Source organism: Homo sapiens, chromosome 2 (assembly GCF_000001405.40).
Source record: "Homo sapiens chromosome 2, GRCh38.p14 Primary Assembly".
Taxonomy (NCBI): domain Eukaryota; kingdom Metazoa; phylum Chordata; class Mammalia; order Primates; family Hominidae; genus Homo; species Homo sapiens.
In genome coordinates, this window is record NC_000002.12 from 202,411,986 (window position 1) to 202,438,164 (window position 26,179).

Consider the following 26,179-nt stretch of genomic DNA (forward strand, 5'->3'; position numbering starts at 1 on the left):
CTTATATTGAAGTTAATTGTGTCAGTGTACATTTCCTGGTTTTCATAATTGCAAGTGATTATGTAAGGTTTGTTAATATTAGGAGCAGCTGGGTAAAGGTTATACAAAAACTCTATACTATTTTTGCATTTTTTCTGTAAGTTTAAAACATTTTCCAACTAAAAAGTTGAAAACACATGTATTAGAGACACATGCGTATGTGTCTCTAATAATCTTAAATATATTTAAGATGATAGAAGGAATTCTTGAGATAGTAAAATGAAGTCACCAAAAAACAAACAAAGAAACAAAACGAAATCACCAAAATCTATCAATAAATTTCAGGTAATACTTTTGGCAGATTCATTCTTTGAGATGGAGTCTCACTCTGTCGCCCAGGCTGGAGTGCAGTGGCGCAATCTCGGCTCACTGCAAGCTCCGCCTTCTGGATTCACGCCATTCTCCTGCCTCAGCCTCCCGAGTAGCTGGGACTACAGGTGCCCGCCACCATGCCCTGCTAATTTTTTTGTATTTTTAGTAGAGATGGGGTTTCACTGTGTTAGTCAGGATGGTCTTGATCTCCTGACCTCGTGATCCGCCCGCCTCGGCCTCCGAAAGTGCTGGGATTACAGGCGTGAGCCACCGTGCCCGGCCGTTTCTGTTATACTTTAAAAAATATAATTTATATTTGGCACCTATATTTCTCAATAAAAATATAAGCAGGAATTTTTAGTTTTGTAAATTTTATAATCTGGGTCTAATAAATCTTAAAGGGATACTAGAGTTTATGTAATCATTAACCACATTATTTTAGACATTTTTTTGTGCAAACTGATTTTCTTATGTTTATACCTATGGTCTTCAGTAATTACTATTTCACTGATAGTTGTAAGAATATGAAATTAAGGCAGGAAGAGGAGAAGTATTAGTTTAATGTGTACTATATGCTGTGTGTGTGTGTGTGTGTACACACTTACATGCTGTTGATTCTCATTGTTCTTGGATTCCATATTTGTAAATGTTCCTACTCACTGAAATTTATTTGTAACCCCCAAATTAATATGCATAGTGTTTTTGTAGTCATATAAGGATATCTATAGAGCTGTGAAAAATGTAAGTCACCTGATGCACACGTTCTCAGCTGAGGTCAAACAAGGCCACATTCTGACTTCTTGTTTCAGGTCTCATGCCATAAACAAATGTCCTGTTCGTGGCCCATTTAGTGCCATATTTTTCTCATTTTTGTGCTTTTTGCTGGTGATTTCACTGTTCAAAATGGCCCACAAATATAGTGCTAAAGTGTTGTCTGGTGTTCTAAGTGCAAGAAAGCTCTTTTCCTTAGGGAGAAAATACCTATGTTAGATAATCTTCAGTCAGTCATGAGTTATACAGGCATGAATTATAGTGCTGGTAGCCAGGAGTTGAGTGTCAGTGCATCAACAAAATATATTAAAGTGACTTTAAACAATCACACGCACACAAAACAACATTATATATTGATCTGTTAATGCAAATGTGGTGAGCACAGGCTTATAGCAATCTAACCTTGTATTTCTCCTAGAAGCAATGGTTCATTGTTCACTAATTCAGTGTTTGCAATAACTATATAGAACATACAAGAATCATTTGTATGTGTGTGATACCCATCTATCTAATATATATTACATATTGTTCATTATATATTAAAAATGTTATTAATTATATTACTTTTTTTTTTTGAGATAGGGTCTCACTCTGTTGCCCAGGCTGGAGTACAGTAGTGTTATTTTGGCTCACTGCAACCTCCACCTCCCGTGTTCAAATGATCCTCCCACCTCAGTCTCTTGAATAGCTGGGACCACAGGCGTGCACTGCCACGCCGCCAAATTTTTTGTATTTTTAGTAGAGATGAGGTTTCACCATGTTGCCTAGGCGGTGTGGAATTCCTGAGCTCAAGTGATCTGCCCACCTTAGCCTCCCAAAGTGCTGGGATTACAGGCATGAGCCACCACGCCCAACCTTATATTATTAATATATGTTTCATATATACATATACATACACAGGCATACCTTGTTTATTGTGCTTCACTATTGCACTTCACAGATAACTGTGTTTTGAACAAATTGAGGGTTTGGGGTAACTCTGCATCAAGCAAGTCACTCAACACCATTTTTCCAACAGCATGTGCTCTTTTCATGTCTGTGTCATATTTTGGTAATTCTTGCAATGTTGCAAACATTTTAATTATTACATTTGTTATAGTGATTTGTGATCAGTGATCTTTGATGTTACTATTGTAATTGTTTTGGGGCACCAGGAACCACACCCATATAAAATGGCAAACTTAATAAATGTTTGTGTTCTGACTGTTCTATCAGCTGTTGTTCCCCTGTCTCCCTGTTTTCAGGCCTCCCCGTTTCCTGAGACACAAATATTGAATTTAGGCCAATTAATAACCCTGCAATGGCCTTTAAGTGTTCAAGTGAATGACAGAGTTGCACGTTTTTCACTTTAAATCAAAAGCTAAAAATGATTAGGCTTAGGGAAGAAGGCATGCTGAAAGCCAAGACAGGCTGAAAGCTAGGCCTTTTGCTCCAGTTAGCCAAGTTGTGAATGCAAAGGAAAAGTTCTTGAAGAAAATTAAAAGTGTTACTCCAGTGAATACAGGAATGATAAGAAAATTAAACAGCTTTATTGCTGATAGAGAAAAAGTTTAAGTGGTCTGGATAGATTAAACTAACTACAACATTCCCTTAGGTCAAAACCTAATCTCAGAGCAACACCCTAACCCTCAGTCTTGTTTTTTTCTTTTGGAGACAGAGTCTCCCTCTGTCGCCCAGGCTGGAGTGCAGTGGTTCAATCTTGGCTCACTGCAGCCTCCACTTCCTGGGTTCAAGCAATTCTCCTGCCTCAGCCTCCTGAGTAGCTGGGACTACAGGTGTGCACCACCATGCCCGGCTAATTTTTGTATTTTTAGTAGAGATGGGGTTTCGCCACATTGTCCAGGCTGGTCTTGAACTCAGGTGATCCGCTTCCCTTGGCCTCCCAAAGTGTTGATATTACAGGTGTGAGCCACCGTGCCCAGCCCCCTCAGTCTTCTGTGAAAACTGAGAGAGGTAAGGAAGCTACAGAAGAAAAGTTTAAAGTTAGTAGAGGCTGAATCTCAACAGATTTTCAATGTAGATGACACATTTTTATGTTGGAAGAATATACCATCTAGGACTTTTATAACTGGAGAGAAATTGTTGGGCTCAGTGGCTCACACCTGTAATCCCAGCACTTTGGGAGGCCGAGGCGGGCAGATCACCTGAGGTTGGGAGTTTGAGACCAGCCTGACCAACATGGAGAAACCCTGTCTCTACTAAAAATACAAAAAATTAGCTGAGTGTGTTGCTGCATGCCTGTAATCCCAGCTACCTGGGAGGCTGAGGCAGGAGAATTGCTTGAGCCTGGGAGGCGGAGGTTGCGGTGAGCCAAGTTTGCGCCATTGCACTCCAGCCTGGGCAACAAGAGCGGAACTGCATCTCAAAAGAAAAATAAATAAATAAATAAACGTAACTGGAGAGAAATCAATGCCTGGCTTCAAAGCTTCAAAGGACAAGTCAGCTCTCTTGTTAGGGGCTAATACAGCTGGTGACTTTAAGTTGAAGCCGATGGTTATTTACCATTTTGAAAATCCTAGAGCCCTTAAGAATTATACTAAATATGCTCTGCCTGTGCTCTATGAATGGAACAACAAAGCCTGAATGACAGCACATCTGCTTACAGCATGACTTACTGAATATTTTAAGCCCACCATTGAGAACTACTGCTCAGAAAAAAAGATTGCTTTCAAAATATTACTGATCATTGACAATGCACCCGATCACCCAAGAGCTCTGATGTAGATGTATAAGGAGATGAATGTTGTTTTCATGCCTGGTAAGACAACATCCATTCTGCAGCCTATGGATCCAGGAGTAATTTTAACTTTAAAATCTTATTTAAGAAATAATATTTCATAGGCTATAGCTGCCATAGATAGTGATTCCTCTGAATCTGAGCAAAGTAAATGCAAAACATTCTGGAAGGAATTCACCATTCAAGATGCCTTTAAGAGAATCAGTGATTCATGGGAGGAGGTTAAAATATCAGTACTAACAGGAATTTGGAAGAAGTTGATTCCAACCTTTATGGATGACTTTGATAGGTTAAAGACTTCAGTGGAGGAAGTTACTGCAGATGTGGTGGAATAGCAAGAGAACTAGAATTAGAAGTTGAACCTGAAGATGTGACTGAATTGGTGCAGTCTCATGAGAAAATTTGAATGGAGGAAGAGTTGCTTTTTTTTTTTTCTTTTTCAGAAAGGGTCTCACTCTTGCCCAGGCTGGAGTGCAATGGCGTGGTCACAGCTCACTGCAGCATCAACCTCCTGGGCTTTATCAACCCACCTCGGCCTTCCAAGTAGCTGGAACTACAGGTGTGCACTACCACACCTGGATAATTTTTTTTTTTTTTTTTGAGATGGAGTCTTGCTCTGTCGCTAGGCTGGAGTGCAGTGGTGCGATCTCGGCTCACTGCAACTTCTGCTTCCTGGGTTCAAGCGATTCTCCTGCCTCAGCCTCCCAAGTAGCTGGGACTACAGGCACGTGCCACCACGCCCAGCTAATTTTTGTATTTTTAGTAGAGACGGGGTTTCACCGTGTTGGCCGAGATGGTCTCTATGTCTTGACCTCGTGATCCGCCCGCCTCAGCCTCCCTAAATGCTGGCATTACAGGCATGAGCCACTGTGCCCTGTTTAAAAGTTGCTTCTTATGGATGAGCAAAGAAAGTTGTTTCTTGAGGTGGAATCTACTTGTGCAGACGCTGTAAACATTGTTTAAATGACAACAAAGGACTTTTTTCTTTTTCTTTTTCTTTTTTTTTTTTTGAGACAGAGTCTTGCGCTGTTGGCCAGGCTGGAGTGCAGTGGTGTGATCTTGGCTCACTGCAAGCTCTGCCTCCTGGGTTCACACGATTCTCCTGTCTCAGCCTCCCGAGTAGTTGGGACTACAGGCACCCGCCACCACGCCCGGCTAATTTTTTGTGTTTTTAGTAGAGACGGGATTTCACTGTGTTAGCCAGGATGGTCTGAATTTCCTGACCTCATGATCCACCCGCCTTGGCCTCCCAAAATGCTGGGATTACAGGCGTGAGCCGTGGCGCCCAGCCTAGCACATTTTTCTTTTTTGAAATGGAGTCTCCCTCTGTCGCCCAGGCTGGAGTGCAGTGGCACGATCTTGGCTCACTGCAACCTCTGCATCCCAGGTTCAAGCTATTCTCCTGCCTCAGCCTCCTGAGTAACTGAGATTACAGGGACCTGCCACCATGCCCGGCTAATTTATTTTTTTTGAGACGGAGTTTCACTTTTTTTGCCCAGGCTGGATGGAGTGCAATGGCACGATCTCGGCTCACCGCAGCCTCCGCCTTCCGGGTTCGAGCGATTCTCCTGCCTCAGCCTCCTGAGTAGCTGGGATTACAGGCATGCGCCACCATGCCCGTCTAATTTTGTATTTTTTAGTAGAGACAGGGTTTCTCCATGTTGGTTAGGCTGGTCTCAAACTCCCGACCTCAGGTGATACGCCCGCCTTGGCCTCCCAGAGTGCTGGGATTACAGACATGAGCCACTGCGCCCAGCCTTCCATGAAGTATTTTTAAATTAAGGAATGTACATTACGTTTTTTGTTTTGTTTTTTTGAGACGGAGTCCCAAGGCAGGAGTGCAGGGGCCTGATCATGGCTTTTTCTATATTCCTTTTTTTTTTTTCTTTTTTGAGACAGCGTCTCACTCTGTCACCCAGGCTGGAGTGCAGTGCTGCCATCTCGGCTCACTGCAACCTCTGCCTTCTGGGTTCATGCCATTCTTCCGCCTCAGCCTCCCCAGTGGCTGGAACTACAGGTGGCCGCCACCACGCCCGGCTAATTTTTTGTTTTTTTAGTAGAGATAGGGTTTCACCGTGTTAGCCAGGGTGGTCTTGATCTCATGACCTCCTGATCTGCCCACCTTGGCCTCCCAAAGTGCTGGGATTACAGGTGTGAGCCACCGTGCCTGGCCCGTCATGTTTTTTTTTAGACCTAATGCCATTGCCCACTTAACAGACTACAGTATAAACATAACTTATATATGTACTGAGAAACCAAAGAATTCATGTGATTTGCCGTACTGTGATATTTGCTTTATTGCAGTGTTCTGGAACTAAGCCTGCAATATCACTGAGGTATGCTTGTATTTCTTATCTAATCTTTCTAAAGCATCCAGGCCCTTCTACATGAGGAGTGAGAACAGACAAAATTAAGTGATTTGCCCAATATAATAGCCAGAACTCAGGGTCTGGTTCCAAAGTCTGCAGATTAAAAATCTCTTTTTAGATGACATTATCTGTTTTGCCTAAGACATACAGTAAAGGCATCTGTAAATTTATCTTGACATTTAATTAGATGTGTTGACAAAAAGACTCAAACTCTGTAAAATATTTGAAGAGATTTATTCTGAGCCAAATATGAGTGACCAAGGGCCCATGACACAGCCCTCAGGCAATCCTGAGAACATGTGTCCAAGGTGCTTGGGTTACAGCTTGATTTTATACATTTTAGGGTGGCAGAAGTTATAGATACCAGTCAACACATGTAAGGTGAACATTGTTTCAGTTCAGAAAGGGGGGACTTCCAGGTCATAGGCAGATTCAAAGATTTTGTAGTTAAGTTACCCTCTGAAGACCTGGAATCAATAGAAGGAAATGTCTGGGTTAAGATAAGGGGTGGGGGAGACCAAGGTTCTTATGCAAATGAAGCTTCCTTGTAGCAGGCTTCACAGAGAATAGATTGTAAATGTATCTTATCAGTCTTTAAAAGGTGCCAGACTGTTAGTGGATTCTCTTCTGGATCAGGGAAAAGACCTGGAAAGGGAAGGGGATTCTCTGCAGAATGTGGATTTTCCCAAGAGACAGCTTTGTAGGCTATTTCAAGATATGGCAAATAAACATATTTGGGGTTAAAATATTCTGATTTCTTTCCTTATCTGTCATGTGATGTTATGTCAGAGTCAGGTAAGCCACATTATGTAGGGTTAAATAAAACCCCTCTGATGAGACTATGGTTTGTAAGGCGTGACTCCCCAGGTCCCTCAGATAGAAATTTGAGGAGAAGAAAAAGGTCAGAGTTTAGTCCTCAGATGGCAAGAATAGTAAGATTTCCCTCATATCTTTCTATTTGAAAATTAAATTGCCTTCATTTTAAAGTCAAATTTAACATTATGTATTTTTGTTTTAACAATTTACTTTTTTATTCAGCGATTCACTTATTTAAAATGCCATGTACTAATTAGCGTAACATTTTCTAGGTAGTTTTTAAAAATTTCTTTTGGGATTTATGTTTATTTTTGTTCATTTATTTATTTTTATTTTCTATTTTTTGAGATAGAGTCTTGCTCTGTCACTCAGGCTGGAGTGCAGTGGCAAGATCTCAGCTCACTGCAACCTCTGCTGCCCAGGTTTAAGCGATTCTCTTGCCTTAGCCTCCTGAGTAGCTGGGATTACAGGCGCGTGCCACCATGCTTGGCTACTTTTTGTATTTTTAGTAGAGATGGGGTTTCAGCATCTTGGCCAGGCTGGTCTTGAACTCCTGACCTTGTAATCCACCCGTCTCGGCCTCACAAAGTGCTGGGATTACAGGCATGAGCCACTGCACCTGGTGTATGTTTTTTTTAAATGAAGTCTTAACTGGGAAATGTGAAACAGTGAAGTATTTCAGTTTCCATAAGTAAGATCTTAAATGTTTAGAGTGTCAAATGTCTCTAGAAGAAAACAGCGTCTTGTTGATTCTTTAGCTTTTCACTACTCTTTACAATGCTTTTCCCCGAAAAGCAATATGAGAAATTAGAAAAAAGGTTATTAAAAACCCAAGGGGGCCAGACACAGCGATTCATGCCTGTAATACGCGCACTTTGGGTGGCCAACGCAGGAGGATGGCTTTAGGCCAGGAGTTTGAGACCAGTCTGGCCAACATAGTGAGACCTCGTATCTATTTTACATATTTTAAAAATTATATTAAAAAATTAAAAAAATCCCAAAGGGAATGGAATGATAGTCATTTGCTGTAAAGAAATCAGAAGATTTTCATAATAATGCTTTTATCCCTTCCATTTTTCCTCTAGAGTTATAATTGAATAATTAATTGCCTTATGTTGCTTATTGCTTATAATAATTAGGGAAATTAGGATGTATCTAACAAAAAATAAAAGACTAAGAAAAAAATACAAAAGACTCTTGACCATCAAAAGGTAGCTTTATAAACATCTATTCAAAATACATTTATTCAAAGAAATAATGAGCAATTACAAAATTAAACTTGAGAATATCCTTATTAAATAAGATAGTATAGTTAATTAAAATAATTTATACAGAGAAACTGTGAATTTTATTGCTTTGTCTTAAAACATTCAGACTCCTTTCTAACATTGTTTACAGTTAAGGTTTTTGGGTTTAAGTTGAAGGATGAGGCCTGCTAACATTACTAAATATGCGTTTATAACCCTATACGTCCTGTCTGGAGTATGCAAACATCTGTAGAAGCATGATTTTTTTTTTTTTTTTTTTTTTTTTTTTTGAGACAGAGTCTTGCTGTCGTCCAGGCTGGAGTACAGTGGCATGATCTTAGCTCACTGCAACCTCCACCTCCCGAGTTCAAGTGATTCTCTTGCCTCAGCCTCCTGAGTAGCTGGGACCACAGGTGCATGCCACCATGCCTGGCTAATTTTTGTAGTTTTAGTAGAGATGGGGTTTCACCATGTTGGCCAGGCTGGTCATGAACTCCTGACCTCAGGTCATCCACCTGCCTTGGCCTCCCAAAGTGGTGGAATTACAGGCATGAGCCACCACGCCCAGCCAGGATGAGGAGTTTTTAAGGCAATATAATGCAATATTTAGTAATTGATTCCTTTAATCTATGAGGTCCAACTTAGAAGGAACAAAAATGTTACCAGGCTTCATTTAAAAAAGAGAAATTGAGGCCAGCCATGGTGGCTCACACCTGTAATCCCAGCACTTTGGGAGGCCGAGGCGGGTGGATCACTTGAGGTCAGGAGTTCAACACCAGCCTGGCCAACATGGTGAAACCCCGTCTCTACAAAAATACAAAAAAATTAGCCGAGCATGGTGGCACACGACTATAATCCCAGGTACCCGGGAGGCTGAGACAGGAGAATCGCTTGAACCCAGGAGGCGGAGGTTGCAGTGAGCTGAGATAGTGCCATTGCACACCAGCATGGGCGACAGAGTGAGACTTCATCTCAAAAAAAGGGAGAAATTATATTGAGGCCAGCCTGGACAATAAGACCACATCTCCAAAAGGAAAAAAAAAAAAAAAAAAGTTTAAAACCAGGTCAGGACCTATTTGCAGATGTACAGTTATCATCACAGAAGGCTTTCTTCTCCAGAAATTTAACTTTGTAACTAGTATTCTTAGCACTATAGTATTTGATAGCAAAGCTACCCGCCCCCACCTTTTTTTTTTTTTTTAAAACAAGTTTTGCATTATACAAGACTGAATGGTGCTTGGCAGAGAGGAATTTTAAGAATTTGGAAGGGCAGGAGAATGGCGTGAACCTGGGAGGCAGAGCTTGCAGTGAGCGGACATTGTGCCACTGCACTCCAGCCTGGGCGACAGAGTGAGACTCCGTCTCAAAAAAAAAAAAAAAAGAATTTGGAAGTAGGGAGGTGAATGGAACTAGACTTTAACTGTAGACTAGAAGCTTCCCTTTCCCAGTCTCTGCCCATTAAAAAAAAAAAAAAGTCACTTCCACTAGAAGATTCATAGATGTTGGGAAAACACAACTGGGGGAACTTTTGATTTTCTTTTTTAATGTGGGATGGGTTGAGCAGGAGTACTCAAGAAATTGATAGGTAACTGTAGAGTAAATAACATGTAATGTCATTTTAAAGTTTGTATTTTGTTGTGGTGGTTGTTTTGAGATGGAGTCTCGCTCTATTGCCAGGCTGGAGTGCAGTGGTGCGATCTCGGCTCAGTGCAACCTCCGCCTGCCAGGTTCAAGCGGTTCTCCTGCCTCAGCCTCCCAAGTAGCTGGGATAACAGGCACAAACCACCACACCCAGCTAATTTTTGTATTTTTAGTAGAGACAGGGTTTCACCGTGTTGGCCAGGCTGGTCTCGATCTCCTGACTTCGTGATCTGCCCGCGTCGGCCTCCCAGAGTGCTGGGATTACAGGCGTGAGCCACTGCACCCGGCCGTTAAAGCTTGCTTTAGTAAGCAGAAAACACTTTCAAAGATACATGTGAATGACAGCTGCTATTTGTCTTGTAGCTGATTCAAAGTACTCATCATAAAGTTGTTTTTTTGTTTTTTTTGAGACGGAGTCTTGCTCTGTCGCCCAGGCTGGAGTGCAGTGGGGCGATCTGGGCTCACTGCAAACTCCGCCTCCCGGGTTCCCACCATTCTCCTGCCTCAGCCTCCCGAGTAGCTGGGACTACAGGTGTCCGCCACCATGCCCGGCTAATTTTTTATATTTTTAATAGAGACGGGGTTTCACCGTGTTAGCCAGGATGGTCTCGATCTCGTGACCTCATGACCCGCCTGCCTCAGCCTCCCAAAGTTCTGGGATTACAGGCGTGAGCCATCGTGCCCGGCCATAAAGTTTTTTAAGTTAGCCATTTCCAGTGTCTGATCTTCAGTGAAGTTTGTAAATTGTTTTTGTTTTGTTTTGTTTTGCTTTGTTTTGAGATAGAGTCTCCCTCTGTCTCCTAGGCTGGAGTGCAGTGGCATGATCTCAGCTCACTGCAGACTCTGCCTCGTGGGTTCAAGCGATTCTCCTGCCTCAGCCTCCTGAATAGCTGGGATTACAGGTACATGTCACCACACCCAGTTAATTTTTCTGTTTTTCGTAGAGATGGGGTTTCACCATTGTTGGCCAGACTGGTCTCAAACTGCTGACCTCAGGTGATCCACCTGCCTCAGCCTCCCAAAGTGCTGGGATTACAGGCATGAGCCACTGCACCCGGCCTGTATATTCTTTTAAAATAATAAAGATAGGGAGCTAGATATTAGTAAAAAGTAGCAACAAAGATGTAAGGATCAGATGATGACCCAAGGACTGTTAGTGGAGGGTTTTGCCATGTTGGCCAGGCTGGTCTTGAACTCCAAACCTCAAGTGATCCACCCTCCTCGCCCACCCAGAGTGCTGGGATTACAGGTGTGAGCCACCATGCCCAGCTGACAGGTGAAATACTAAAAAATAACATGGCTAGGCTCAAAAATGAAGCTTAACACCTCCTTGGAATAGAAAAGCAAAGTGTTCTACCTAACTGAACTCTGGGGCCAGAAGTTGGCAGTTTTTCCCATGATTTCTTGCCAGGCTGACAGGGTCCAAAAGTGACCATGTGAGAAGGAGATCAGAACTTGGCTCCCACTTCAGACACGGGGGCTGTGTCTCCTTGAAAGGATGCCAGAAAGAGAACAGCATCTTGCTTCTTGGTGTTAAAAACTTTTTTCATTGGCCAGGCACTGTGGCACACACCTGTAATCCCAGCAGTTGAGGAGGATGGGGTGGGAGGATTGCTTGAGCCCAGGAGTTCAAGATCAGCCTAGGCACAGTGGCAAGACCCTTTTCTGTCTCTACAAAAATTTTAAAAATTTCTCGGGATGTTGGCGTGCGCCTGTGGTCCCAGCTACTCAGGACGCTGAGGCAGGGGTATCGTTTCAGCCAGGAATTCGAGTCTGCAGTGAGCTATGATGGCGCCACTGTACTCTGGCCTGGGCAATAGCATAAGACCTCCTCTCTAAAAGAGAAATGATAAAAGGCCAGGTACAGTGGCTCATGGCTGTAGTCCCAGCACTTTCGGAGGCCGGGGTGGTTGGATTGCTTGAGGCCAGGAGTTCAAGACCAGCCTGACCAACATGGCGAAACCCTGTCTCTACTAAATATACAAAAATTATATTTGTTTAATTACATACCACGGATGTGGTGGCCCGTGCAGACGTCCCAACTACATGGGAGGCTGAGGCGTGAGAATTGCTTGAACCTTAGAGGCGGAGGTTGCAGTGAGACAAGATCATGTCACTGCCCTCCAGCCTGGGTGACAGAGCAAGACTGTCTCAAAAAAAAAAAAAAAAAAAAAGGCCAGGCACAGTGGCTCACCCCTGTGATCCCAGCACTTTGAGAGGCCGAGGCGGGCAGATCACTTGAAGTCAGGAATTTGAGACCAGCCTGGCCAACATGGTGACACCCTGTCTCTAATGAAAATGCAAACGTTAGCTGGGCATAGTGGCATGTGCCTGTAATCCCTGCCACTTGGGAAGCTGAGGCAAGAGAATTGCTTGAACCCAGGAGGTGGAGGTTGCAGTGAGCCAAGATTGTGCCACTGCACTTCAGCCTGGGCGACAGAGCAGGACTTCGTCTGAAGAAAAAAAAAAAAACACGTTTTTTATAAGCTGTGGCCCTAGGTCTGGCGTGGTGGCTCACGCTTGTAATCCCAGCACTTTTGGAGGCTGAGGCGGGTGGATCACGAGGCCAGGAGTTCGAGACCAGCCTGGCCAACACAGTGAAACCCCGTCTCTACTAAAAGTACAAAAATTAGCTGGGCGTGGTGGCAGGCGCCTGTAATCCCAGCTACTCTGGAGGCTGAGGCAGGAGCATTGCTTGAACCTGGGAGGTGGAGGTTGCAGTGAGCTGAGATCGCTCCACTGCACTCCAGCCTGGGCGACAGAGCGACACTCCGTCTCAAAAAATAAAATAAAAATAAGCTGTGGACCTAAGGAATATGAGAATTAAGAGATACCCTTAGTACCAGAAATTTAGCCAATATACTCACTTGCTCTATAAAGGCATCTGCAATATCCCCAATGTCTTTACAAGGTTGGCATCTCAAAATACCATTATAAGACCTAGTTTTGGACTGAGAGCAAGAGATAGATATGTTAAAATAACTTTTAAGATAAATTTAAGACAACTTCAAGACAAATTTTAAGAGATTAATTGAGCAAACATTTTTTTTTTTTCCCCAGAGATGGAGTCTCGCTCTGTCGCCCGGGCTGGAGTGCAGTGGTGCAATCTCGGCTCACTGCAACCTCCACCTCCTGGGTTCAAGCAGTTGTCCTGTCTCAGCCTTCCTAGTAGCTGGGACTACAGGCACATGCCACCATATTGGTCAGGCTAGTCTCGAACTCTTGACCTCAGGTGATCCACCTGCCTCACCCTCCCAAAGTGCTAGGATTACAGGTGTGAGTCACCATGCCCAGCCGAGCAAGTAATTTTTTATGAGTCAGGACTACCCCTATCTTCACCCCTTGCCCCAGCCAGAATAGATTCAGTCTGCCGCTAGTGCTGCTGCATGGTTGGAGAGGATTTATGGACAGAAAAAGGAAAGTAATGTACAGGAAACAGAAGCGAGGTACAGAAATAGCCGATTGGTTACAGCTTGGCATTTGTCTTATTTGAACATGGTTTGAAGATTTGGCAACATGTGATTGGCCAAAACTTTGTGATTGATACAAGAGTATGTTATAATCTGTTTACACATTGAGTTGGGTTACAGTTCACTATATAGAAAAATCTCTGGGCCGAGATTAAAGGATATGAGGAGACAGCTTTAGGCTAAACTTTATTTAACAGATATAGAGGGGAAGCACCTGGAAAGATGCTGTGGAGGAGTTGGTGAGTGGGAGTTGGAAGATAGAGAAACAAACCAAAAATCCAAGTTGGCAAAATCACATTTTGAAACATCTGAAAAAATAAATCTTATTTAAAAAATCTTTATGTGAAAAATTTAAAGCTTTTAGAAGAAAAAATATATCCTTTTGACCTTGGTCTAAAAAAGAATTTATTTAAAAGGGCACAAAAACCAAAAATAATAAAAGGAAGATTAATACATTGAATTGCATTTTAAAATTCTATACAGCAGGATGCATTACAAAGTGAAAAAACAGCTACAGATTGAGTAAGATATTTGTAACATATGTAATCAAGTAAGAATTATCCAAAATATGAAAAATATTTTTTAAAAAGGTAACAATCCAAAAGGGAAATGTGAAAGGATTTGAATAGGCAATTCACAAAATAGGAAACCTGTATGGTTGATACATACTTGAAAAGATGCATCCTTAAACAAAGAAATGCTTGAAAGAAGGATAAAAAATGTTTTGGATGGTCTTACATTAGCAATTAAATGCTGTGGCCAGAAGTAACACTTTACTTAGGCCCTGAGTGATTAGGATGATCAGAGCTTGCCTGGTGACCCATAGGAAATAGAACACGAGCAAGAAATAAACTTCTGTTATTTAAAGCCACTGAGATTTTGGGATTGTTATTGCATATAATTTAGTTTATGGCCGGGTACGGTGGCTCACGCCTGTAATCCCAGCACTTTGGGAGGTCATAGTGGGCTGATCACCTGAGGTCAGGAGTTTGAAACCAGCCTGGCCAACATGGTGAAACCCCATTTCTACTAAAAATACAAAAATTAGGCAGGCGTGGTGGCGGGTGCTTGTAATCCCAGGTACTCAGGAGGAATCGCTTGAACCTGGGAGGTGGAGGTTGCAGTGAGCCAAGATTGTATCACTGCACTCCAGCCTGGGCGACAGAGCAAGTCTCCGTCTCAAAAAAAAAAAAAAAAAAAAAAGTAAATTTTGGCTGGGTGTGGTGGCTCATGTCTGTAACTCCAGCACTTTGGGAGGCTGAGGTAGGAGGATCACTCGAGGTCAGGAATTTGAGACCCACCTGGGCAACATAGTAAGATCCCGTCTCTTCAAATATTTAAAAACTAGCTGGGCGTGGGTGGCATGCACTTGCAGTCCTAGCTACTCAGGAGGGTGAGGCAGAAGGAGTGACTGAGCGTGGGAGTTTGAGGCTTCAGTGAGCTATGACAGTGCCACTGCACACTAGCCTGGGTACCAAGTTAGACCCTGTCTCTTTAAAAGTAAAATAAAATAAATTGCTCTGGTTACCATGTAGAGATTGGATTATAAGAGGATGTTGAGAAACCACTAAGGAAGTCATTAAAGTTATTCAGGCGAGATATGATGATACTCAAGACTAGGATGGTGCATTGGATAGGACGTGGTATATTTAGATGGAATCTAGTGATAATATTGAAGGCGGGCTTGGCGAGGTGTTTCACACCTATAATGCCAAAACTTTAGGAGGCCGAGGCGGGAGGATCACTTGAGCCCTAGAGTTCGAGACAAACCTGCCAACATAGTGAGACCCCCGTCTCTACAGAAAATACAAAAATTAGCCAGGTGTGCCAAGTGGTGATGTGTGCCTGGTACTTCCCAGCTACTCAGGAAGCTGAGGTGAGAGGATTGCTTAGGCCCGGGAGATTGAGACCTCAGTGAGCTGAGATCGCGCCACTGCACTTCAGCTTGGGCATCAAGCAAGACCCTGGCTCAAAAAAAAAAAAAAAAAAAAAAGGGCAGGTATATTGGATTTAGTGAACAATTGGATGTGTTATGTATTTCTGCAACAAAATTTTTACAGTAAGCAAACAGTGCTTTTGTGGACCAAAAATCAAATTAAGTAAAAAGAAAAAAAAAAAACAAGAAGCAAGCCCTTAACAAGGCTTTGTTTTCCTCTGAACCTTAAAACTTTTTCGTTCCTATACTATCATTTCTCTGAGGTAGTTTGATTTCTTCACTTCATTTACATTTTTTTCCATTCTCACAGTATTTCTCTAGTTAAGAATTGTATTATGCCTCTACTGCACCATTATAGGAAATACTTTTTATGGTTGGACATTGTGGCTCACGCCTGTAATCTCAGCACTTTGGGAGGCCGAGGTGGGTGGATTGCTTGAGCTCAGGAGTTTGAGACCAGCTTGGGCAACATGGCCAAACCCCATCTCTACAAAAAACACAAAAATTAGCCAGGCATGGTGGCACGCAGCTATAGTCCCAGCTATTCAGGAGGCGAGGGGTGGGAGGATCACTTGAGCCTGGGAGGTGGTAGTTGCAGTGAGCTGAGATCATGCCAGTGTGCTCCAGCCTGGGTGACAGAGTGAGATCCTGTCTTCACAAAAATAAACAAACAAACAAATAAAATAAATAATACCTTTTATTATTTACCTCTGATCTATTCCTATTACAGTTCCGCATTCAGTGTAATTTCCCCTAGGGGTAACTGCAATTTCATTTTTTTAATATACCCAACAAAGAGCTGTAGCTCCCTCCTGTCTGCAGATCAGTGTTTATAGGACAGAATATAATATTCTACTATGCTAACTTTACCTTTTACCCTTTTCTTAGCACGTGCACACACATGTGTGCACATACTGTCAGAGTCCCTATTTCTCTCTCTCTACACACTGCCAGTCTCTCTCCCTTGTCATACTGTCAGAGTCCCTATTTCTCTCTCTCTACACACTGCCAGTCTCTCTCCCTTGTCCCCGCAGTCGAGTCTGTCTCTCTCCTTCTGTTTCTCTCTCTCTCTTTCTCTCTCTCTTTTTTTTTTAAGAGACGGGCTTACTCCATCTGCCAGGCTGGAGCGCAATGGTGCGGTCATAGCTCACTGCATCCTCAAACTCCTAGGCTCAATCAGTCCTTCCACTTTAGCCTCCAGAGTAGCTAGGACCACAGGTGCATGCCACCACACCCTGGCTAATTTTAAAAAAGTTTTTTTTTTGGTAGAGATGGGTCCTCGCTGTGTTGCCAGACTGGTCCTGAACTCCTGGGCTGAAGCGATCCTGCCTGCTCAGCCTCCCAAAGTGTTGGGATTCCAGGTGTGAGCCACTGCCTCCAGCCTTTCTCTTACACATGTGTACACACGCATACTGTCTTATAGTCCATGAAAATGGAAAGATTTATTCCAATGGTTCTGTTCTTAATATTCTCAAATGCCTTTATATCTCTTGATATCTTGGCATTTTCAGGTTCATCACAAATTCTCCATCTTTCCACATATATCTAACTGTAAGCCTTTGCATGTGCCCATAGTGTTACTGGAAAGGGGTCTTGATCCAGACCCCAAGAGAGGGTTCTTGCACCTTGTAAGAAAGATTTTGGGGTGGGTCCACAGAGTAAAGCAAAAGCAAGTTTAAGAAAGTAAAGTATTTTGTGTGACTTCAGGGCCTATACTAGTTCCATTTGGCCCCATAAATATCTCTAGAATCTATTCCTTTCTTGTTTTCCTCTGCTCCTGCCTTTATCAGTTCTCTCCTTGTATTATTGCAGTAGGTTTCTAGATGGTAAATGTCCCTCTTTTCTTCTTCCCCCAATCTCTTTTTCATACTCCGCCAGAGTACTTTTCTAAAATACAAATCTATTCATTTTATTCCCCTGCTTAAAATTCTTCAGTGGTTCCTTGTGGCCTACAAAATGAAGTTCAAACTCCTTATCATGGCACATCCATCATCTGGTTCCTGCTTACATTTTCAGCATCATTTCCTACTACTACTCCCCCTTTCCCACTCTGCATTCCAGTAACACTGAACTATTTATGGTTACTGGAACTTAACACGTTCTTGCTAAGCTTTTGCTTATGATACGTCCCTTGCTTGGAATTTCCTTCTCTCCTGGTCTGCTTTTTGAATCTTTACTTATCTATGACAGTTTAGCTCAAGTTATATTTCTGTGATGCTGATATTTTAAAATATTCCTTGATATTCCCTAGAGAGATTGGGCAGTATATTAGTCTGCTTGGGCTGTGTATTAGTCCATTTTCACACTGCTATAAAGAACTTCCTTGAGACTGAGTAATTTATAAAGGAAAGAGGTTTAATTGACTCACAGTTCCACATGACTGGGGAGGCCTCAGGAAACTTACAATCGTGGCAGAAGGGGAAGCAGGTGCCTTCTTCACAAGGCAGCAGGAGAGAGAAGCATGAAGTGGGAACTTCCAAACACTTGTAAAACCATCAGATCTCTTGTGAACCCACTCACTGTCATGAGAACAGCATGGGGGAAACTGCACCATGATCCAGTCACCTCCCTCCCTTGACACGTGGGGATTATGGGGATTACGATTTGAGATGAGATTTGGGTGGGGACACAGAGCCAATCCATATCAGGTTGCAGTAACAAAATACTGTAGAATATGTGGCTTAAACATATTTTCAGAAACTTACTTTCTTCCAATGTGGAGGCTAGAAGTCCAAGATAGGGTGCCAGCAGTCAGGTTCTGGTGAGAGCTCTGGGTTGCCTTCCACTGTGAAATTAGAGAGAAAGAAATCTCTCTCTTATAAGGCCATCAATGCATTTGGATTAGGACCCCATCCTTATCATCTCATTTAACCTAAATTAGTACCTAAAAGCCCTATCTCCAAATATAGTCACACTGAGGGGGGATAGGGCTTCATTATATGAATTTTGGGGGAACACAGTTCAGTTGTAGCAGTATGCAGTATTTGTTGAAAGAAGTGCTACAGTCTTTTTGTTTTATGATTCACTGTTTACATGATTGTCTTTCCCATTAGATTACACATTTCTTGAGAGTTGGGATTGTTTACTTTTTAAAATATTCTTCAGACTTTGAATATGTGGAATTGTTGAATATGTGGAGTTGTTGAATGGGCTAAGTTAATTGCATTATAGGATGGGATTAATGATGTATATTTAAGTAAGGTAGACGCCTAGAGTAGGTCTTCTGGACTGCTAACTTTGACTGACATTACTGATGAATCATTTTGACCCATTCTTTTTGCCTAGCTTGCCAACTGGATGGGTCCTTTGGTTATATATACTTTCATTCAAAGCATTTTATAACATTAACAACTTGGACAGGCGCGGTGGATCACACCTGTAATCCCAGCACTTTGGGAAGCTGAGGCAGGTGGATCACCTGAGGTCAGGAGTTCAAGACCAGCCTGACCAACATGGAGAAACCCTATCTCTACTAAAAATACAAAATTAGCCAGGTGTGGTGGCACATGCCTGTAATCCCAGCTACTCAGGAGGCTGAGACAGGAGAATTGCTTGAACCCGGGAGGCGGAGGTTGCAGTGAGCTGAGATCACGCCATTGCACTCCAGTCTGGGCAACAAGAGCGAAACTCTGTCTCCAAAAAAAAAAAAAACTTGATGAACTTAATCTATATTTTAAGAACTCTAAATGATTAAAAACTTTAGAAAGAATTGGGATTTTTCACGATTAGAGGAGACCAAGATATATTTCCTCAGCTGTTAAACAACTTCAATCTGCTAAAATATGCTACTTCATTAAGATTTTGGGAAAGAAATTTTAAGTAACAGTTTAATGTTTTGGTGTCCATCATGTCTCCTTTGCTGGAGCAATAATAGATTTTGCATATATTTTATTGTCTTTTGTGTAGAAAGCATGGTATAAAGATAAATACATTAGAATACAAAAATTGCTCCCTCTGGATGATGTTAAAAATAAGACACATGTTTTTCAAGGTATTCTGTTGCTGTTGATGAGTTTTGAGAGTAATACAAACATAGGTATGAATTTTGTTAATACTGCTTTTCAGTGAGCCTGGTCAATTAAACCTCTTTGAGTCTCAGTTTTCTAATCTGTAAAGTGATACATTTATATTACAATTTGGTTTATTTAAATGCATTTTAAAATTGAAAATGTAAAACATTCATTTATAGTCATGCACCACTTAATGATGTTTTTTGGTCAACAGCAGACCTAATGAATATATGATGGTGGTTTGTAAGATTGTAATATTGTATATTTACTGTACTTTTTCTGTGTTTAGATACATAAATACTTAACATTGTGTTATGTTAGTATTGCCTACAATATTCAGTAGTATAGTAACATAGAGTACAGGTTTGTAACCTAGGAGCAATAGACTTTATAACCTAGGTGTGTAGTAGGCTATACCATGTAGGTTTGTGTAAGAACACTCTATGATGTTCATACAATAACAAAATCTCCTAACAAGGCATTTCTCAGAACTTATTCCCATTGTTAAGCCACAATGACTGTTTTAAAATTCTAACAGTACAAAAGAGTAGCCAATGAAAAACTCTTTTTTTCTACTCTAGATCTCTAATTCTTTTTCTTCATCTTTAAAGTGACCATTGTTAAGTTTCTTACGTTTTTCCAGAAATATTCTTTTTATATATAAATATAGGTACTTATATATTAAGTATAGGTATGTGTGTGCATATGTACAAATGTGTGTTTGGGGTTGCCATTAAAAACAATAAGTTATGTAGAATAACTAGTATGAAGCAAAACAGTACAGCAGATTTTAAATGATGAATGTTATTAACTCTCTTCCCTTTCTTTCATCAAGGCTTCTTAAGGGCTTATGCAGTCAGAAAATTCCTTTAAGATTTGTTTTCATTTTGTAATTTGAAATGTTAATTTTCAGATCACAAAGGTTGTCCATGTTCACATATAAGCAGAAAAGTAATTAATATCTAACACCAGGTAATGATTTATTCCTTGCCGGTTATTTGAGATTTTTCTTTACCATGCTGTTTCATTCCATTAGCACAGTGGTATTTAAGTAGAGGTGATTTTGCACTCAAGGACATTTGGCAATATGTGGAGACATTTTTTGGTTGTAACATCTAGGAGATACTGTTAACATTTACTGGATGGAATCTAGGGATGCTGTAACACGTCTTACCATATGTGGGACAGCCTCCACAACAAAGAATCATCTGGCACAAAATGCAAGTATTACTAAGGTTAAAAAAACCGTAAGTTAGCATAAATAATAATGAATTAAGTATAAGTTGCAGCCTCGCTCATTCTTTAATTATAGTTTGTGTTGACTGTTTATTTTGTGATTTTATTATTTTATTATTTTAAAACTAAAATGATCCTAGATTAGATGTTATCTAATATGCAACAGATAGGTACATCTGTTCTGTTTCTCAGATTCTGATCTTAAAGTCATTTTATCATATAGCATTGGCATTTGTTTTGCAAGTTTTTACCTTAATTAAAAATAAATCAAAGGCAGCAGAAATCTGTGTGTTTTGTTGTCGTTGTTGTTAACTAAAATGATAAAGGGATCCTCAGCTGTTAAATCTACTTTGTTGTTTTGAGGTTTGACCTGGCCTTATTCCATATATAGCCATCTGCCAGCTGGTAAGGTGGTATCTAGTAAGGATATTTAAGAGTGTTGCCTTGCCAGATCTAGCCGTAAGCAAGTCCTATATCTAAATTAACCTTTGAGGCTGAAAATCATATAGCCATCTGCCAGCTGGTAAGGTAGCATCTGTCTAGGATGTTCAAGAATGTTACTTTGCTAGATCTAGAGGCAAGCATGCTCTCTGCTAAATTTCATCTTTACTGGACCTCCAGGATCTTTAGGACTTGTATTAGTCAGGATTCTCCAGATAAACAGAACCAATAGGAGTAAGTAGATAGGTAGGTAGGTAGGTAGGTAGATAGATATATGTATAGATAGATACACAAGGGGACCTCAGAAAGTTCATGGAAAATGCATATTATGAAAAAACTCTGCATGTTTTTCAAAAATTTTTTGTGCCAAAATAAACTTGAACAGGATCTAGTTTGAGGCACTAAGGAAGGCTAAGACATCAGTTTGAAAAAAGCTCCTATCAAAGCAACATGAATTCTACTAAAATTGAAGCAAGAACAAACATAAAATTTATAGTGAAACTTTGGTAGAAGAATGGTGAAATCATTGATGCTTTACAAAAAGTTTATGGGGACAATGCCCCAAAGAAATCAGCAGTTTTACAAATGGATAACTCGTTTTAAAAAAGGACAGGACAGGCCGGGCATGATGGCTCATGCCTGTAATCCCAGCACTTTGGGAGGCTGAGGCGGGCGGATCACGAGGTCAAGAGATCAAGACCATCCTGGCCAACATGGTGTAACCCCGTCTCTACTAAAAATACAAAAATTAGCTGGGTGTGGTGGCGTGCGCCTGTAGTCCCAGCTGCTCGGGAGGCTGAGCCAGGAGAATTGCTTGAACCCGGGAGGCAAAGATTGCAGTGAGCCAAGATCGCACGACTACACTCCAGCCTGGCGACAGAGCGAGACTCTGTCTCAAAAAATAAATAAATAAAAAAGGACAGGACAGTGTTAAAGATGAAGCTTGCAGTGGCAGACTGCAAGGAAATTTGCAAGGAAAAAATTAACCTTGTTTGTGCCTTATTTGAAGGGGACAAATGATTAACAGCAAAAACAATAGCGAACATCACAGACATCTCAAGTGATTCAGCTTACACAATTCTGGCTGAAAAATTAAACTTGGGCAAACTTTCATCTCATTGGGGGCCAAAACCATTGCACCCAAATCAGCTATAGACGAGCAGTGCTTTCAATGGAATTTTTAAACAAATGGGATCAAGATCCTGAAGCATTTCTTGAAAAAATTAAAACAGATGAAACATGTCTTTACCAATATATCCTGAAGACAGGGCATAATTAAAGCAATGGCTACCAAGAGGTGGAAGTGGTCCAGTCAAAGCAAAATGGACTGGTCATGGCAACAGTTTTTTGGGATGCTCAAGGTATTTTGCTTGTTGGTTTTCTGGAGGGCCAAAGAATGATAACATCTGCTTATTATGAGAATGTTTTGAGAAAACCAAAGCTTTAGCAGAAAAACACTAGGGAGAAATTTGTTAAAGAGTCCTTCTCCACCATGACAATGCTCCTGCTCATTCCTGTCATCAAACAAGGGCAATTTTTAAAGAGTTTCAATGGAAAATCAATATAGTCCTGATTTGGCTCCTTCTGACTTCTTTTTGTTTCCTAATCTTTTTGTTTGTTTGTTTTTGAGATAGTGTCTTGCTCTGTCACACAGGCTGGAGTGCAGTGGCTGGCACAATCTTGGCTCACTGCAACCTTGACCTCTGGGGCTCAAGCGAGCATCCTACCTCAGCCTCCCAAGTAGCTAGGACTACAAGGTGTGCCACCATGCCTGGCTAATTTTGTTTATTTTTTGTAGAGATGAGATCTCAGTATGTTGCCCAGTCTGGGCTCAAACTCATGCCTGGTGACACAGTGAGACTCTGTCTCAAAAAAAAAAAAAAAAAAAAAAAAAAAAAATATATATATATATATATATATATATATTTATTTATTTATTTACGTCTATAATCCCAGCAATTTGGGAGACTGAGGTGGGCAGCTCACTTGAGCTTAGGAGTTGCAGACCCGCCTGGGCAACATGGTGAGACCCCTTCTCTTCAAAAAAATTCAAAAATAAGCTGGATAGGCTGGGTGTGGTGGTTCCTGCCTGTAATCACAGCACTTTGGGAGGCCAAGGCAGGCAGATCACCTGAGGTCAGGAGTTTGAGATCAGCCTGGCCAAGATGGTGAAACCCCGTCTCTACTGAAAAAAGACAAAAAAATTAGCCAGGTGTGGTTGTGGGCATCTGTAGTCCCAGCTACTCCGGAGGCTAAGGCTGGAGAATTGCTTGAACCCATGAGGCAGAGGTTGCAGTGAGCTGAGATCATGCCACTGCACTCCAGCCTGGGCGACAGAGCCAGATCCTGTCTCAAAAAAAAAATACATATATATATATATATATATATATATATATATGTTTTTGTACAGTTATACAGTATGTTCGTGTTTTAAGCTAAGTGTTTTATTATAAGAGTAAAAATGTTAAAAACAGTTAAACCACAGGTTAAAAAGTTTATGAAGTAAAGTTAGAGTAATCTAAGGTTAATTTATTATCAAGGAAATAAAAAACAAAAGTAATGTTGTCTAAGTATAGTGTTTATGAAGTCTACAGTAGGGTACAGTAATGTCCTAGGCCTTCACATTCACTTACCGCTCACACACTGACCTAGAGCAAGTTCTAGTCCTACAAGCTCCATTCATGGTAAGTGCCCTATACAGGTATACCATATTTTATCTTTCATACTGTATTTTTGCTCTACTTTTTCTGTGTTTAGATACACAGATACTATTGTGTTGCAGCAACCTACAGTATTCAGTGGAATAGCTATACAACTATCCTATAGTCTAGAAGTAATAGGCTATATCATATAGCCTAGGTATGTAATAGGCTATGTCATCCAGGTTTCTCTAAGTACACTCTATGATATTCATACGATGAAGTCACCTAACAACAAATTTCTCAGAACATATTTCTGTCATTAAGCCACACATGACTGCCTTAAGTATTGTTCCATGAAATTTTTATTTTAGTTTTATGTTTACCTTTGCATTTGGTCATGATTCAAAAAAGCATTTCTTATACTATGTTTCTTTCTATACTAAGTTAACTATAAAATGGTACATCACTGGTAATAGTGATAATAAACCGGCCATTTTCATGAAAACTTAGTTTTATCTTGGCTAGGCACAGTGGCTTACGCCTATAATCCCAGCACTTTGGGAGGCTGAGGCGGGTGAATCCCTTGAGCCCAGAGTTAGAGACCAGCCTGGGCAACATGGTGAAACCCCGTCTCTACAAAAAAATTAGTTGGGCATGATAGCCTGCGCCTGTGGTCCCAGCTACTTGGGGGCCTGAGGTGGGAGGATCACCTGAGCCTAGGTGATTGAGGCTGCAGTGAGCCCTGATTGTGCTACCGCACTCCAGCCTGATGGATAGAGTGAGACCCTGTCTCAAGAAAAAAAAACAACAACAGCAGCAACAAAAAAACCCACAAAAACAAAAGCCGAAAAGAAAAGGAAACTTAGTTTTATCTTGACAAAGATATCTAATTTGCTTCTAAGCTTTTTAAATTGAAACAATGCATGGCCTATCTTTTGAATTTGTGAGTTTGCCACCCCTGAAAACATCTAAGTAGATCATCTGTCAGAGATGTTACAGGTAGGATGAATTCCTGCTTTATTATGGAAAATTTGACTTCTAGTTCTTTCCAAGTAATATTTTATAATTCTAACTTATATATGTGGTCCTATTCCTAGAAAATGATGTATTCTTTTCATACAGTTTTTCCAGTGGTACTGAAAATAACCTCAGCCCGAATTGGCTTTGTTAAACTTGGAAGTTTTTCAAGAAACATGACTCTAGAATTCTTTACTAGGTCTTCGCAAAATATTTCGCCTTGCAGTAAGAATTGTGTTCCTCTCATATCTCTTTTTTTCCTTATTTCCATGCTTTCCCATTTTATTCACATGGACAATTTTTAGTCAATTAGCATTTATTTTGGGGCTTCCTCAAAAACTCTAAATTTTTTTTTTGAGATGGAGTCTCGCTTGGTCCGAGGCTGGAGTGCAGTGGCGTGATCTCGGCTCACTGCAACCTCTGTCTCCCAGGTTCAAGCGATTCTTCTGCCTCAGCCTCCAGAGTAGCTGGGATTACAGGCGGGCGCCACCACGCCCAGCTAATTTTTATATTTTTAGTAGAGATGGGGTTTCACCATTTTGGCCAGGCTGGTCTTAAACTCCTGACCTCATGATCCACCCGCCTCTGCCTTCCAAAGTGCTGGGATTACAGGCGTGAGCCACTGCGCCCAGCCAAAAAACTCTAAATTTACCTCTTTAGGAATTTCAACCTGACCATTTGTATCTCTTCTTATATTTTCAGTTGTTGCAATAAATTTTAACTTTTTTTATGTTATTTTATAAAATTGTTTCCATTCATATATACATTTTCTTTTTTATAACAGCTTTATTGGGATATAATCTACATAGCATATAATTCACCCATTAAAATGCAGAATTCAGTGCTTTTTAGCGTATCCACAGAGTTGTGCAACTGTCACCACTGTCAATTTTAGAACATTTTTCTTACACCACTAAGAAGTCCCATGTCCATTAGCAGTAATTCTTCATTCACTCCCTCCCCAAGCCTCTGGCAACCACTAATCTACTTTCTGTCTCAAATTTGCCTGTTCTAGACATATCCTGTAAGTTGAGTCGTATCATATAATATATAGTCTTTGGTGACTGGCTTCTTTCACTCAGCATAATGTTTTCAGGGTCCATCCATGTTGTAACATATATCCAGCACTTCATTTCCTTTTATTGCCCAATAACATTCTATTACGGATATACTGCATTTCCTTTATCCTTTCATCAATTGATGGACATGCGGTTGTTTCCACTTTTTAGTTATTGTGAATAATGCCATTATGAGTATTAACGTACAAATTTTTTTTTGTGGACATATGTTTTTATATCTCTTGCATATACCCAAGAGTGAAATTGCTGGGTCAGGTGGTTAAGGCGTAAGAGTTCTTTTTATGGCCAGGCACAGTGGCTCATGCCTATAATCCCAGCACTTTGGGAGGTGAAGGTGGGCGGATCACCTGAGGTTGGGAGTTCGAGACCACCCTGACCAACATGGAGAAACCCTGCCTCTACTAAAAATACAAAAT

The 26,179-nt window shown here is 41.1% G+C and overlaps 1 protein-coding gene across 2 annotated transcripts in view, besides 2 other annotated features; it reads left to right on the forward strand.

Annotated features, from left to right (window-relative positions):
• Positions 1–26,179, forward strand: part of BMPR2 (bone morphogenetic protein receptor type 2) — a 191,423-nt gene that overhangs the window by 35,659 nt on the left and 129,585 nt on the right. The gene's annotated exons all lie outside the window — the stretch shown is intronic.
• Positions 4,673–5,546: an enhancer, noted in NCBI's record as "H3K27ac-H3K4me1 hESC enhancer chr2:203281381-203282254 (GRCh37/hg19 assembly coordinates)". NCBI's record gives its function as "activates a minimal SCP1, AML or CMV promoter by ChIP-STARR-seq in naive H9 embryonic stem cells {active_cell/tissue: H9 hESC(naive)}" and the evidence as "EXISTENCE:reporter gene assay evidence [ECO:0000049][PMID:30033119]".
• Positions 7,295–8,166: an enhancer, noted in NCBI's record as "H3K27ac hESC enhancer chr2:203284003-203284874 (GRCh37/hg19 assembly coordinates)". NCBI's record gives its function as "activates a minimal SCP1, AML or CMV promoter by ChIP-STARR-seq in primed H9 embryonic stem cells {active_cell/tissue: H9 hESC(primed)}" and the evidence as "EXISTENCE:reporter gene assay evidence [ECO:0000049][PMID:30033119]".